The sequence below is a fragment of the Homo sapiens genome, chromosome 7 (assembly GCF_000001405.40).
Source record: "Homo sapiens chromosome 7, GRCh38.p14 Primary Assembly".
NCBI classification, from domain to species: domain Eukaryota; kingdom Metazoa; phylum Chordata; class Mammalia; order Primates; family Hominidae; genus Homo; species Homo sapiens.
Window position 1 is genome coordinate 36,504,196 of NC_000007.14, and position 16,594 is coordinate 36,520,789.

A 16,594-nucleotide genomic window follows, 5' to 3' on the forward strand; every position below is an offset into this window, starting at 1 on the left:
GGGTCACCAAAATATGTCTGGAATTGGTTCCTTCTGGTGGGTTCTTGGTCTCACTGAATTCAAGAATGAAGCCGCGGACCCTCGAGGTGTTACAGTTCTTAAAGATGGTATATCCGGACTTTGTTCCTTCAGATGTTCAGACGTGTCCAGAGTTTCTTCCTTCTGATGGGTTCGTCATCTCGCTGACTTCAGGAGTAAAGCCGCAGACCTTCGCAGTGAACATTACAGCTCTTAAAAGTGGCGTGTCCAGAGTTATTTGTTCCTCCTGGTGGGTTCGTGGTCTCGCTGACTTCAGGAGTGAAGCCACAGACCTCCGCGGTGAGTGTTACAGCTCATAAAGGTAGTGCGGACCCAAAGAGTGAGCAGCAGCAAGATTTAATGTGAAGAGCGAAAGAACAAAACTTCCACAGCGTGGAAGGGGACCCAAGTAGGTTGCTGCTGCTGGCTCGGTGGCCAGCTTTTATTACCTTATTTGGCCCTGCCCACATCCTGCTGATTGGTCCATTTTACAGAGTGCTGATTGGTCCATTTTACAGAGTGATTATTGGTGCGTTTACAATCCTTTAGCTAGACACAGAGTGCTGATTGGTGCATTTTTAGAGTGCTGATTGGTGTATTTACAATGCTTTAGCTAGACACAGAGTGCTGATTGGTGTGCTTTTACAGAGTGCTGATTGGTGCGCTTTTACAGAGTGCTGATTGGTGCATTTACAAACCTTTAGCTAGACACAGAGCATTGATTGGTGCGTTTTTACAGAGTGCTTATTGGTGCGTTTACAAACCTTTAGCTAGACAGAAAAGTTCTCCAAGGCCCCACCTGACTCAGAAGCCCAGCTGGCTTCACCTCTCAGAAGGAGTCCGTGGCAACATGGAGTCCTGTCTGAGCCCTGCACCACCCACCACTGGGTGTCCTTTATGTGAGAAAAATAGCCTTTCTTTTTTTTAAAGAAAAACCCATCATTACTCTGGATTGTACCCATAAGCAGTAGAACCTAACCCTAAAGACACTTATGTCCTCCAGTAGACTAGGAGTGTGTCGGTATGTTTCCCTCTATGACAACCATGCGGGAGCTGGATCTTGAAGAAGGAGTGTTCCAGTTTCCTGGAGGAAACAGCCTATGGAAAAGCATGGAGCTGTGAGAGGGAGGGCCTTTTATTCAGTTCACTGTTGCTGCATAAAACCCCCCTCGGAAACTTAGAGGCTTGAAACAGGAAGAGTGCATTATATCCCATGGTTCTGTGGGTTGGCTGGGCTCGAGCTGGACTGGAAGTCCAAATGCTCATTCATACTTTTGAGGCCTCAATGTGGGCAGAGGTACCTCAGTTTTTTTCCATGCAGCCTTTCTCCTTCACGTGGTGTGTCATCCCCCAGGGTTTCTCTTGCAGGAGTGCAGCCTGGACTTCCCCACATTGATAAAGGAATTAAGAAAAAAATCACTTAGGCAGATAGTAAGGGTATGGGAGTCCTCGGTAAGTCTTTTCTCTCTAATGAAAAGCAGCGCCAACTCATTTTATAACAGAGCAGCCTGTAAAGTCTAGCTGCAGACATAGACAAGCAAGCTGGGAGCTTGCATGGGTGAATGCTGGCAGGAACTGGGGACTAGACATGTTCAAGATGGCAGCTCCATCTTCCCTTCTTCGTCAGCCATGTGTACAGTAAAGAGCAGACAAGATGGCGCTGATCAACTAAAAAGTCCATCTGAATAATACGATTAGGGTGGGGTGACCAGCCTTCCACACTATGTAAGCATCATACCTGATAGAACCAATCTGTGAGCCCTAAGTAAATCAGACACAGCCTTCCCCAGCCTGCTTATAAAATCTGCTGCAGTCTGCTGCCTCCCTGCTTTTCAGATGCCTTTCTCTCTCTCTCTCTCTTTCTCACAGGGAGCTGCTTTCCTGTCTCCTTTCTTCTATTAAACTTTCCACTCCTTAACCCACCCACATGTGTTCATGTCCTGAATTCTTTCTCAGGGAGAAACAATGAATGCCAGGTATATACCCCAGACAATGTAGCCGTTTCAACATGGTGGCTGTGAGATCTAAAAGGGTGCAGAGGGCAGCTTCACCTCCTAAGGGCAAGGCCTGGGTGTGGCAGTCTCACTTGCATTTCCTTCTCTGGGCCAGCCCAGCTTCAAGGGGTGGGAAAGATGCCGCCTCTTGTTGGAGGAGAAGCAGGCACACGCAGGAGGGTGGCCATTTTTGGCAGCCAGCTTTGGAGACTTACCTACTGCCCATGTTTTGTAATGACAAGCTTCCTGTGACTGGGATGCAGGATCAAAGAAGAAATGGGCGGGAGAGAGAGCCTGGAGAGACATGGACTCTGCAGGTGACGAGTTTGGAGTTTACGCTACAGACAAAGCTGACTCTAGCACATGTGGTGGTCAGATCACATCCTGGTTATAATGATGCTAAGAGCCACTGTTGATTCACCACTCAGCATGTTTTACATACGTCATCTTCTTAATAAATGCAGGATAGCCTAGCAGCTAGGGGCAAGGACCCTGGAGCCAAATGGCTTGCCTTCAACATCATAACTCATCACATTATTGTTATTGAGACAGGGTCTCACCCTGTTGCCCAGGCTGGATTGCAGTGGTGCAATCATTGAAATGGGCTCAAGCGATCCTCCTGCCTCAGCCTCAGCCTCAGCCTCCTGGGTAGCTGAGAATATAGGTGTGCACAACCATGCCTGCCTGACTTTTTATTTTTGTGCAGGGCCCTCACCATGTTTTCCAGGCTGGTCTCAAACTCTTGGGCTCAAGCGATCCTCCTGCCTTGCCCTCCCAAATTGCTGGGATTGCAGGCATGAGTCACCATGCATGGCACCTGACTCATCACGTATTAGCTGTGCAGTCTCAGGCAAGTTACTTAATTGTTCTCGGCCTCCTATCTGTAAAAGTAGGGAATCATAGCAGACCTGCCACATGTGGTTGCTGTAAGGGTTAAGTGAGATCATATATGCACTCTACTTGTCACTTACCCCTCTGTAAGCATTAGCTCTTGTTAATGCTCACAACAGTGCTGGAAAATGGTACTATTGCTCCCTTTTTAAGGAGAAGGTAACTGAGGCACCAGGAGCTTAAGGCTTCCAAGGCCTGTTGCTTCATGAATTCCCACTGATTGTGTTTCCATGTGTCCCCAGCTCCAGGAGGCAGCTGAGCAGAATTGCATTCTTTCCATGAGACTTACACGAGCCTGGAGTCTCTACCTGTCCCTGAAGAGTCCTTTGCTCCCCTACAGCCTCACTCAACCTCCTGGCTCCAACTGATATTTGCAGAAAATCACTGTAATAATATTAACAGCTGGGGGCTTTTCTGAGCCTGTACAAAGTGTGCATCTTGGAGGGCAGAGTCCTTAGGTGAAACTGAAAGTCTTTGGGGTCTGAAGCTGCCTTGAGCCTGGACAGGTCATGGAAGCCCTTGGTGCATCCTCTCAGCCGTCTTTCTGCTGAGGTTTATTGACTGGAGCTTTGTGAACCTGTGAGTTACATTAGCGCTCTGAGGCTGGAAGTCTTCCTGTAAATGCTCCATGTAATTAATTATAAACAAAGCAGCAAGCCAGGAGCACAATACCCAAATAAATCCTTAGCGAGCCTCAACATGTGCTCTTTATTTCTCCTCTGCCTTTCCATCCATCCAAGAGCTTCAAAGTGTAATCCTCCTTAACGACAGGTTCATGATGATGAGGCCATTATTTTTGATACTGCAGTTTTAAGAAGTGACCCAGAAAACAGGCTTTACAAGCAACCTCTCCCCATTCCCCTTTACCCTAAGCAAAGGCCCAGATTAAAAGAGCCTTAGCTTGTACGAATATTTATGCTAGAGCCTCTGCCAAATCAGATTAGGGGAGTTCATCCCGCCAGGCAAACACGGGTTCTGTACTCAGATTTAATGAGAAACTGACATGTTAATAGCATATTGATGCATCCATCCATCAGGAAATCCATATAGCACAGTGAATGTGCGCCATGCATCTTGGGGCCCAGGAGAGATGCTGTCTTTGTCACTTTTGGTTCCACCAGGAAAGCTGTTGTTGCAATGAAAGGGATTCCAAAGACATTCTGCCTCACACCAAAGATGAGAGGTCGGGAATTCTGGTCTTAAAATACCTGGGAAATCCCTTTCTTGACACTGCCAGGGAGTGTGTGAGACAGAGGCTAATTCCTCTAAACAACATCTTCCAAGGTGCTTCTGAAAAAGCAGATGCCACAGAGTGTTAATAGGCATCATGAGAACAAAAAGCTTAGGTCAAAATCTTGGGTAAATGATGAGCGGAGCAGAGTTTTTTGGTTTTTTTTTTTTTTTTGAGACGGAGTCTCACTCTGTCACCCAGGCTGGAGTGTATTGGCGCGATCTCGGCTCACTGCAGCCTCCGCCACCCGGGTTCAAGCGATTCTCCTCCCTCAGCCTCCGGAGTAGCTGGGATTACAGGTGCGCACCACCACACCCAGCTAAATTTTGTATTTTGTATTTCACCATGTTGGCTAGGATGGTCTCAATCTCCTGACCTCGTGATCCGCCTGCCTTGGCCTCCCAAATGCTGAGACTACAGGGGTGAGCCACTGCACCCGGCCCAGACTTTTTTACTGTAGAATTTTCACCCTGTGACTTTCCAGGAAGCAAATAAATTATGCTGTGCATCCAAACTTTTCAGACTTTGGAGTTCTTCCTTCTCAAAGCACCCCCACCCCACCCACAGCGCATACATCCTTTTTGTGCCATGCAGCCCCTTGGCAGTTTGGGGAAGCCTGAGGATCCCTTCTCAGAATAACATTTTCATTTTATTTTATTTTAGACACGGTCTTGCTCTGTCAACAGGCTGCAGTGCAGTGGCAAGATCATGGCTCACTGCAGCCTTGAACTTCCAGGCTCAAGCCATCCTCCCGCCTTAGCCTCCTAAGTAGCTGAGACCACAGGCATGTGCCACTATGCCCAACTAATCATTTTGACTTTTGGTAAAGACGGGATCTCACTGTGATATTCAGGCTGGTCTGGAACTCCTGAGCTAAAGCAGTTTTTCCACCTTAGCCTCCCAAAGTGCTGGGATTATAGGCGTGAGCCACTATGCCCAGCCAGAATAACATTTTTAAATGCAAAAAAACAAAACATGTAGGATTACGAAGAAAACCAATTCTATTGAAATAGAATATCAAAGAATATTTTGAGATATTCACAAATGAGCATATATAAATATATGGGCTTCTTTTTGAACGTGTTAATAACCAGATCCAGAGTTGGTTCTAATAACTACAGTTGTTTTAAGGTATTGATGTTTTAAAGTATAAGATATAGTTGATCGGCATCGTTCACTGATCACATATTTGTGAATTCACCTCCTTGCTAAAATTTATTTGTAACATTAATGTATACTTGTGGCGCCTTTGCAGTCATCTGTGCCCATGCACAGACCAATGACAAATTTGAGTTGCCCAACTGGCATGTTCCCCAGATGAGATTGGTTGGCAAAGTGAAGTTTTGCCTTTTTTTTTTTTTTTGAGACAGAGTTTTGCTCTTGTTGCCCAGGCTGGCATGCAATGGCATGACCTCGGCTCGCTGCAACCTCTGCCTCCCAGGTTCAAGTGATTCTCCTGCCTCAGTCTCCAGAGTAGCTGGGATGCCAGGCACACACCACCACGCTCAGCTAATTTTTGTATTTTTAGTAGAGACGGTGTTTCCCCATGTTGGCCAGGCTGGTTTCGAACTCCTGACCTCCAGGTGATCCACCTGCCTCGGCCTCCCAAAGTGCTGGGATGACAGGTATGAGCCACTGCGACCGGTCAAGTTTTGCCTTCTTGTTTCAGCTCTCATACTGCAAACCTGTGTCCTCTTCGCAGTATACTTAGTGCCACATTTTTGGCATTTCATGCTTTTTCCCGGTGATGTTGCTGTTTAAAATGGCCATGAAGGGCAGTGCTGAAGTGCTAGCTAGTGCTGCTAAGTGATGTGCCACAGAAGACTGCAACGTGCCGCACCAAGAAAATCACCCCAGTGGTAGATGAGCTCTTTGCAGGCAGGAGTTACAGTGCTGTTGCCTGTGCGGTCAATGTTAATGAATCCACTGTATATTAAATACGGTGTCTTTTGAACAAAAGCCACACGGAAAACAGTTATATATTGATTGGTTGGTGAAAATGTTGAGACTGCAGGCTCACAGGAACCTAGCCTTGTACTTCCCCTAAGGACAATGGTTCAGCATGTGCTAATTCAGTGTTCATGGCAACTTTATAGAACATAACTGCTACAAAAAATAAGCAACAGTAACTGCAACAACTGCAATGTGATGTGAAAATATTTGTGACAAGGACTAATTCAGCTGTGTTTTGTTACCTACATTCATTATGAAAGGAAATGCTAAATTTTAGCATTAGCATTTAGAAGACAGTGAAGACTTATTTTTTTTCCCATTCAAGTTTACAGGCACTATTAATTCTGGGGATCCCTAAGGACCCTAGTTAAGAAAATTTTCTCAGTTGGATTAAATCAGTGACAGAGCAGGGAGGGATTGGGAAGCTGGTGCGGATTCTGGGGAGATTCAGGTCCGGTCACATTGTGTATCAATACAAGTCCCATATAGAGATTTTTAGCTGATCTGCTTTTTCTGGGGGGCTGACTTTATTTTTGTCACCAGGGCCTGAACCCAAAAGGCTCAGCATGAAATGAAAAATGCTCATGGTGGGTGGAAATAGAAATTTTGGTAATTACTCATGTGGCAAATAGTGAGCTCTATTTCAATAGTGTAGGGCAAGCCAGGTCTCTCCTCTGATAACAGGAGAGAGTATCTGTTTCTTTTTTTTTTTTTTTTTTTTTGAGACAAGGTCTCATTCTATCCCCCAGGCTGGAGTGCAGCGGTGCAGTCTGGGCTCACTCCCTCGACCTCCTGCTGGGCTCAAGTGATCTTCCCAAGCAGCTAGGACTGCAGGTGTGTGCCACCACACCCAGCTAATTTTTGTTTTTTTTTTTGTTTTTTTTTTTTTGTAGAGACAGGGTTTCACCATGTTGCCCAGGCTGGTCTTGAACTCCTGAGCTCAAGTGACCCTCCCACCTCCGTCTCCCAAAGTGCTGGAATTATAGGTGTGAGCCACAGTGCTCGGCTGGGAGACAGAAATTATAATAGAGTTTTGGGGTATTTAGATGAAGATCACATAAGAGCCCCAAGTCCCCTCACCAAGTGTGCCCAGGGAAGAAGGCGCCTCTGATGGCTTTTCTTTCTCACTCTTCTCACCGTGATGAGCGAGGAGCGTGATTCAATGGGTCTAATTCAAATGTGTCAAAAAAGAGGCTGCTGATTTTACTTTTAAATAGCAAGAAATAACAGTGTGACCTGGAGAGCAACACTAACTTCTCATTCACTCATTCATTCAGTGCTATTTCTTGTGCGTCTGCAGTGGTCAGGCATTGTGTTGGGGGTTGGACACAGGAGTACACATGACCGGCCAGGTACCCATCTCATGGAGCCTGCAGTTCAGGTTCCGGTGCTTTTTTCCACAGCCCCTCCAGGAATGGGGAGATGGGGAGGGCAGCATGCCAACCCAGGAAAGCCCTTCAGGTGCCTGTCAGTGGACAATCCTCAGACACCATCATTCTGGAAAACTCAAGGCTGAAGACAGTAGCTCAAGGGGCACCTGTGCAGCAATACGGGATAGGTGCTGTTATAAGAAGTACGCAAAGCACAGGGACGGCATTCTCAAGCCAGAGAGAAAGACTTGGTCAAATCTCAAAGAAGGAACGTGTCTGGAGCATAGAAAATGCAGGCAGAAGTGAATGAGCCTTGCCCGGGCACCTGATCCAGGGCAGAGGGCCTGACCTCAGACTCCAGTTTTGCAGGCAATAGTGGTATTTAGTAATGATTTCCATGTGGTATTTATTTGCAGTATTTGTGTTTTCTGAAAAAGTGAGATGGGGTCAACGTCCTCTTCCACCCCTCAGTTCCTTGGTGCTGTGCCTCAGAGTAAGGTCAAAGCTCAGGATTTGGGTACCTTTGTTTTCCCACCTGAGCCCATTCAAAAGATGGAACTGGTTAGATGTTAGGTGATTCCCCAAGGTTGTGAGTGGTCAGGCCTAAGAGAATTTAAACAGTCTTTTTTAGAGGGGTGGGAAGTGACAGGTTCAGAGAAGACATATAGGGTGGGAGAAGGGAGGTAGTCAGGCCGGGAGACCCTCCCTTTACTCTGGAGTCTTCCTGTACAGATTAAATAAGTGTACTTTGGGTATCTATCACCTTAAATATTTGTCTTTTCTGTATGCTAGAAACATTCAAATTATTTTCTTCTAGCGATTTGAAATGAAATGTACAATAGCATTTAGTAAACTATAGTCACCCTACTGATCTGTCAGACACTAGGCCTTATTTCTTTTATCTAACTGTACATTTATACCCACTAATCAACTAATAAAATACTTTAAAGGAAAAAAATTGTATTGTCATTTTTCTGGACTTTGTGAGGTTATATGGCACTTTGTCAACTTTTAAACATTTGTAATTTGTGGTGATTTCTTTCCTCATTCTAAATGTGTATTCAAGTTCATGTCTAATTTTGTATTTATAGTTTTGTGTTATGTTTTTCAAGGGGGCCTCATGAAGCCTGCTCTGCCCCCTTGTGTGAGTCCTTGGCAGCTGGCCAGCCGCCTGCATAGGAGGAAGCTCAGCTCGCCCGGCCATTTTAAAGAAGTCAGCAACACAGGGGGGATCAGTCCCCTGGCATGCCAAGACCCTGGGTAAATTGCTGAACATCGCTGGACTTAAGTGTTTTTAGAAACTCCTTTTAGAACAATTAGCTGTAAAGGGCACAGATACTCTCTTGTTTGGAATGGCACCCAAAGCACTTTATGAAAGGTTATTTCAGGAACAGCGGAAGGGTTACTGATCCCGGGAGCACACAGCATTGCACAGTCGTCCAGATATGCTCTTCATTGAGAGAAAGACATTTTGCAAAGATGCTGCTGAAGAAGAGTCCTTTGGGCCTGTGACGTGGCAGCCCCCATAGGGTTTGTGGAATGAGTTTACCCAAGCCTCTGCCTCCCTGTGCTCCCCAGGGGTGCATGCTCCTGAGAGGCTCAGTGCCCGCCTTGGTCTCCAAACACCTGTTTAATCTGGGGGTTGAACGGATTCTCCTTTCCCAGGATTTGGGGCCACTGGAGCTGCACCTTTTTCCAGAAATGATCCGCCAACAACAGCAAAGCCACCTGTGAGAGAGAACCCAAAGGACGAGGAAAAGGGAAATTAGGACAAATCACTTACCAACAAGATTTCCCACGTGCTTTCTGCCAGAGACAGCCTCTAGGATGGCCCCATGACTCCCACCCCCATGTCTCTGTATAACCTCCTTCCCTTGCTGGCGGTGGGACCTATCACTTGCTTCTAACAGAGGAAGTGTGGCCGTGGTGAGGAGACGCTGCTTCAGCGATGGTGTCACATTGCGTGAGGCTTGGCCTTGCTAGTGACTGGCTTCGGAGGCTCTCCTTTCTGGGCTGGAGCTGAGGGTGACCCGGTTGCCATCCAGCCTGAAGCTGGCTCCTCAGTCCTGCAGTCTCAACGGGAATGAATCTGCCAACAGCCTGAGTGAGTTTGAAAGCAGTTCTTCCCCAGATGAGTCCCCGGATGAGAACATGGCCTGGATGCCATGCCTTGATTTTGGTTTGTGAGACCCTAAGCAGAGGACCCAGTTAAGCTGTGACCCACAGAAACTGTGAGATCATAAGTGTGTATTGTGTTAAGCTGCTAAGTGTATGGAATTTGTTTTTTCAGTAATAGATTAAAAATTCACTTTCTCAGAAATCCACTTATTCATTTATCTGTGGACAGCTAGCATTTACTGCAGGCCTAAGGCTTGGGTTTTAGAGATGAACGTGGTGTGTTCTTCCTTCCAGAAAGTCTCAGCCTAGTAAGGTAACCAGACATGCCAAATGACACCACCAAGCCCACAGGGACTGGAAAGGGAAGAGGTGTCACTTCTGTCTGGTGGGGGAAGGGGTGGGATCTCTCTGAAGAAGGTGGCGGCTGAGATGAATTTTCTAGGAGTTCCCTAGATGGATGATGTGGGGAAACTGCAATGGTAGAGGACACGGCGTGTGCAAAGGCTCAGAGCTGTGGGAGAGAATGGCATGTTTGGGGAACTACAGGTGCCTGGGAGTGGAGGCTGGCTGGGTCCCTGACTGGGTGGGGGGTGGGATCCTGGCAGGCTGTGAGGGCAGGGAGTCTGGCTGAAGTGCCAGAGAGGAATCCTTAGCTTAATACACAGCAGGCTCGACTCTGGCTTTCCCAGCCTGAGGCTTACTCTCTGGTTCTGCTGTCGCATGTCAGGTTTCCCTTTATCCATGATGTTAGCTGGGTCCATTCTTGGTTGTCCAGTGTCTGGCTTGTCATTAATATGCCTTTGAGGAGGATGCTCTTTCTCTGCAAACAATGCCCTCATTTAGCAAATGGGACCTGGCCAGGCCTGCAGACTCCAGATGGCTCCATCTCAACAGTGGTTTTCAATGCTGAGCAATGAGAAATGTGATTGCTGAAGGCCTGCCAGAGGGGAATACATTGTTCGGGAAGGATGCTCAGGGATATCCCTGACTTTTCCCCACAGGGCAGCTCACAGTCCCCTTCCTAATAGGCAGCGTAGCCAACTCCCTCTCTGGGCCCAGCCCTCTCATCTGGACATTGAGTGGGCGACAGAAAGTGATCCAAAGTCCTTTCTGTGTCTGACTGTTTGTGAGATTTTAGTAGTTAGAGAAAACTAGGACTGATCCAGTCACTGCATAAAGTCCCCAGCATTTTAATGTGTTCTGAGCCTTCTAAGGTGGACACGAACTTCACTCATCCCGCTGCGTAATCTCGGTCATGTCCATGCAGTGTCTCCCCCACCGCATAACACACAGAGACCACACACACATACACCACACCCCTCACAATCCCACACCACACACACATAATCACACACCCCCACACACACACCACACCCCTCACAACCCCACACCACACACACAAACATCACACATACCCCCCACACACCACACACAAACACCACACACACACCACACACCACACCCCTTACAACCCCACACCACACACACATACATCACACACACCCCCACACTACACACACACCACACACACACTATACCCCACACCCCTCACAACCCCACACCACACACACATAATCACACACCCCCACACACACACCACACACACCACACCCCTCACAACCCCACACCACACACACAAACATCACACACACCCCCCACACACCACACACAAACACCACACACACCACACACCACACCCCTCACAACCCCACACCACACACATACATCACAAACACACCCCCAAACACCACACACACCACACCCTTCACAACCCCACGCCACACACACATAATCACACCCCCCCCACACACCACACACATACCACACCCCTCATAACCCCACACCACACACATAATCACACACACACTACACACCAACACCACACACACACCACACCCCTCACAACCCCACACCACACACACATAATCACACACCCCCCCACACACCACACACCAACACCACACACACACCACACACCACACCCTTCACAACCCCGCACCTCACACACATACATCACACACACACCCCCACACACCACACCCCTTACAACCCCACACCACACACACATACGTCACACACCCCCCACATACAGAAACACCACACACACCACACACCATGCACACCACACCCCTCACAACCCCACACCACACACATACATCACACACACCCCCACATCCCACACACAGCACACACAGAAACACTACACACACCACACATCACGCATACATACACCACACCCCTCACAACCCCACACAACACATAAATACGTCACACACACACACACCACACACTACACACACCACACGCCACATACACACCATACACACACCACACAGATACATCACACACACACCACACACAGATACACCACACACATCTCACACACACACACCACACACCCCATACCACACATACATACATCTCTCTTATATACACACACACATCCTACACACACCCCACACACACCTCACACAGATACCACCACATGCACACTCACCACATACACATATAACATACACACACCCCCCCACACAGATACCACACACACACACACAGAAAGCACACAGATACCACACACACCCCCACAGAAAGCACACAGATACCACACACACCCCCACAGAAAGCACACAGATACCACACACACCCCCACAGAAAGCACGCAGATACCCCCCCCACACACACAGAAAGTGCACGGATACCACACACACACACACACAGAAAGCGCACACAGCATTCACACCCCACATATACTTCTTTGCACTTAAAAGCAGGAGCATGTCAAAGGCTGCCTGCGAAGCTGGCCAGTGCTCCAGGGAGGGCCGGATCATCTCTCACACAAAGTGATCAGGACCTTTGAAGACAGAGGCCCGGGCTTGTGGCTGTTTTCCTGCCATTTCTCAACAAAGGAGGCTGCTGCCAGGTCTGTGGAAAATTACTGGTTCTTCTTTTTTGTGTTATTGGCTTTCAACTTGATACACCTAAGCTCTTTCTAACAATTATGTGGTACCAAGGCATTTATTTCCCTATCTATGTTAATAAGGGAGGAGACAGGGTGAGGGCAAGAAGAGGGAAACGAAAATGAAAGAGCTCAGATATGAGCATTTGGTAACTGGTTTGAACGCAATTAGTTGGTTGTCACTCTAATAAGGAATAAAATATTTATGAGCAGGCATTGAGAAAATATTGGGTCTGAAATGAGACTGGCATGCTTATCACCAAACTAGAGACTTGTGATAAAATGATCCACTGTAATCATTCATTCATTTGACAAATATTTACTGAGCATCTACTATGGGTTTCTCATACCGCAATTTCCTGTTTTAACTTCCACGAGGCGCTGCACAGGGCAGGGCACAGCTACCCTTTCCTCTCTTTATCCATGTTAGTCTTTCTTTCTTTCTTTCTTTCTTTCTTTCTTTCTTTCTTTCTTTCTTTCTTTCTTTCTCTTTCTTTCTGTCTCTCTCTCTCTCTCTCTTTCTTTCTGTGTCTCTCTCTTTCTTTCTTTCTTTCTTTCTTTCTTTCTTTCCTTTCTTCTTTTGAGACAGGATTTTGCTCTGCCACTCAGGCTGGAGTGCAGTGGCCAGATCTCGGCTCACCGGAAGCTCCGCCTCCCAGGTTCAAGCAATTCTCTTGCTTCAGCCTCTCCAACAGATATTCTTTTATGCTTCTCTATTCATAGTCTAAAATATTAAAGGAAAACCTGTTCATTCTAGAAGAACTGAAAACCCACTTAAGCAAAAAGAGAAAAACACAATTAAAGTCATCTGTAATTAAAATAGAGGCAGCCTCTGTTAACATGGGGTGTAGAGCCTTTCTGACTTTATATCTTTTTTTTTTTTTTTTTTTTTGAGATGGAATCTCAGTCTATTACCTAGGCTGGAGTGTAGTGGCGTGATCTCGGCTCACTGTAACCTCCACCTCCCAGGTTCAAGTGATTCTCCTGCCTCAGCCTCCTGAGTAGCTGGGATTACAGGCACATGCCACCATGCCTGGCTAATTTTTGTATTTTTAGTAGAGATGGGGTTTCACCATTATGGCCAGGCTGGTCTCGAACTCCTAGCCTCAGGTGATCTGCCTGCCTCGACCACCCAAAGTGCTAGGATTACAGATGTGATCCACTACGCCTGGCCCTGATTTTATATCTGAACACACACACACACCCACACACACACACCCACACACACACACACACACACACACGCACACACACACACTGGATTCCTCTTGAATATCATTTTGTAATCTGCTCTTATTGAAGTCGAATTTAGACACAGTAAAATGAACTCTCTTTGGTAAACAGTGCCATGAGTTTGACAAATGCATACAGTTGAATCATTGCTCCTATGGTCTGTAGTCTTATCCTATATACTTTGCTGTACATTATAAACATATTTCTGTGTCACTAAAGGTAGATCTCTTTTTTTTGTTTTGTTTTGTTTGTTGTTATTGTTGTTTTTGAGATGAAGTCTCGCTCTGTTGCCCAAGCTGGAATGCAGTGACGCAATCTTGGCTCACTGCAACCTCTGCCTCCCAAGTTCAAGCAATTCTCCTGTCAGCCTCCTGAGTAGCTGGGACTACAGGCATGCACCACCACGCCTGGCTAATTTTTGTATTTTTAGTAGATGGGGTAATTCAGTGCATGGTATGCCATCAGATGGATGCAAGCTAATTCATTTTACCAGCGGAAACTTTTATCATATACCCTCCACCCCAATATTTGTCCTCAGTACGGGAGGATGGAGACACCCTCCTCCTGCCAGTTCACACAACCTTGGCAGCTCAGGAGGTCATCGGCTGCCCTACTAAGCATGTGTGTGGAATAAAATCTATTCTAGATGAATGCTAGGGAATGGGTGCTCTGATTAAGTGGGATCTTCTGGTTAATAGAGGTTCTTTTCCAGGTATTTTCCTTTGTAGTTGAACATCTTTCAGAGCCCACTTTCTTGTTAAGTTGCATATAAATACATCCAATGTATTAAGACAGTAAAGCCAGAAGCGGTTTCAGAGTTCATCAAGTTAGCTTCTTGTAATACAGCATGATGCTTTATTCAATCACCCGATGATCTGGAATCATGCTGGGCCATCCTTACACTGGCCTGGGACCGCTGTGGAGAATGTGGGAAGAGAGTGGGCAGGATCTATACTGACTCCAGGATGCACTTGACTTTGATTCCTTGAATAAAATCTCTGATAAGAACTTGCCTTGCTGTCCTGTAACTCTGTGTTTGGTCATTTAAAAAATCTTTTTAAAATACAACTTTTCCTTTTGTTTTTCTCCGTCTCTCTGGACTGGTTCCCTACCAAATTACCCTCCACGCCGCTACTACAGGCATCTTTTTAGGACACACGTTGGGCTATTTCTTTCTTGCTTGAGAACATCCAGTGGCTCCCCATGTCCCTCAGGATCAAGGTCAAGCCCCAGACAGATGTTCCATGATCTGGTTCCTTAATACGCGGTAGATTTCTCCGTCTGTCAACTCCACGGTCATACTCTCTGGCCACACTGAGCGCTTTTATTTCCTCCAACATGCCACGCTTTCTTTCATATTCAGGTCTTTGCCCATGCAGTTGCCTCTGCTCAGAATACTTCCTGAAACCCCTCTTCGCTTCCCTTCACTCTACTAGCTCATGGTCTTTGTTCTGACATCACCTCCTCTGAAAACATTTTTGTTTTTTTGAGATGGAGTTTCGCTCTTGTTGCCCAGGCTGGAGTACAATGGCATGATCTCAGCTCATTGCAACCTCTGCTTCCTGGGTTCAAGCGATTCTCCTGCCTCAGCCTCCCAAGTAGCTGGGATTACAGGCATGTGCCACCACGCCCAGCTAATTTTGTATTTTTAGTAGAGACGGGGTTTCTGCATGTTGGTCAGGCTGGTCTAGAACTCCCGACCTCAGGTGATCCACTCACCTTGGCCTCCCAAAGTGCTGGGATTATAGGCGTGAGCCACCACACCTGGCCTGAAAACATTTTTGAACACCCCTCTCTCTCATCCCACCCCATAATGCTCTGTGGTGTTCTGTACTTGCACAGTTGGAGGCATTTACTGCTTTATATTTAATTGTCTGTTTACTCATCATTTTCCTACTCTATACTATAATTTTAAATGGCAGGGCATTTTCTTGTTCACTCTTGAATTCTCACTGCACTTGACACTGGGTAGTCACTCAATAAATAGTTTTGGATGGCACTTTGCCAATCTGGACTTTTCAGCTCAATATACATGATAAATAGGCAGGCTTTAGGCCTGGCTATCCATTTTTGGCCACTTTATCACTGGCTACCAGCATGTGAACAAGTCTTGCAGGAATAGCATAAGATTATGGCACACATTGATTTTCAGCTTTTGACTGTGTTTTCAATAATCAGATATAGGTGAAACTGTTTAAGTACAAGATAGAGGCCCAATTTGACAGACTTTGAACCCCAAGATCATTTTAAGAGTCAGGGACGGAATGGTCATTTGATAGATGGGATAAATATATCCTGGGGGATAAAACAAAGCTGTCTTTGATCCTCCTCTTTTTAGTTTGTTCCTGATACTTTACATGGCCATCTTTTCATATACCCATTGTTTACAGAATCAGAAGGGTAAGATGCTATTCTGTGCAGAGAATGATAAGAACTAGTACCTAATAACTGCTAGAAAGAAGGGGGCCGGGCGCAGTGGCTCACGCCTGTAATCCCAGCACTTTGGGAGGCTGAGGCGGGCAGCTCACCTGAGGGTGAGAGTTCGAGACCAGCCTGACCAACATGGAGAAGCCCCGTCTCTACTAAAAATACAAAATTAGCCAGGTGTGGTGGCGCATGCCTGTAATCCCAGCTACTCAGGAAGCTGAGGCAGGAGAATCACTTGAAACCAGGAAGCGGAGGTTGCGGTGAGCGGAGATCACACCATTGCACTCCAGCCGGGGCAACAAGAGTGAAACTCTGTCTCGAGAAAAAAAAAAAAAAAAAATAGAAAGTAGGGATATACACAAACTCTTCTAAAACCAAAGACATCATTTTTGGGGGATCAGAC

The 16,594-nt window shown here is 46.6% G+C and overlaps 1 protein-coding gene across 13 annotated transcripts in view, besides 1 other annotated feature; it reads right to left on the reverse strand.

Annotated features, from left to right (window-relative positions):
- Positions 1,164 to 2,363: an enhancer, noted in NCBI's record as "BRD4-independent group 4 enhancer chr7:36544967-36546166 (GRCh37/hg19 assembly coordinates)". NCBI's record gives its function as "activates an origin of replication core promoter dependent on BRD2, P300/CBP, MED14 and CDK7 cofactors, and independent of BRD4, by STARR-seq in HCT116 cells {active_cell/tissue: HCT116}" and the evidence as "EXISTENCE:reporter gene assay evidence [ECO:0000049][PMID:35650434]".
- Positions 8,746 to 16,594, reverse strand: part of AOAH (acyloxyacyl hydrolase) — a 211,554-nt gene continuing 203,705 nt past the window's right edge. For 6 of the 13 annotated variants that reach the window (XM_011515334.3, XM_011515333.3, NM_001177506.2 and 3 more), the window contains 2 exons: positions 10,277 to 10,395; positions 8,746 to 9,185 (listed from right to left, as the gene is read on the reverse strand). In XM_011515334.3, the coding sequence (XP_011513636.1) occupies positions 8,837 to 9,185; positions 10,277 to 10,395 (468 nt within the window). In that variant the 3' untranslated portion in view covers positions 8,746 to 8,836. Of the gene's footprint in view, positions 9,186 to 10,276; positions 10,513 to 16,594 lie in introns of those variants that run through there. The other 7 variants (NM_001177507.2, XM_017012102.3, NM_001637.4 and 4 more) reach the window with 4 other exon arrangements.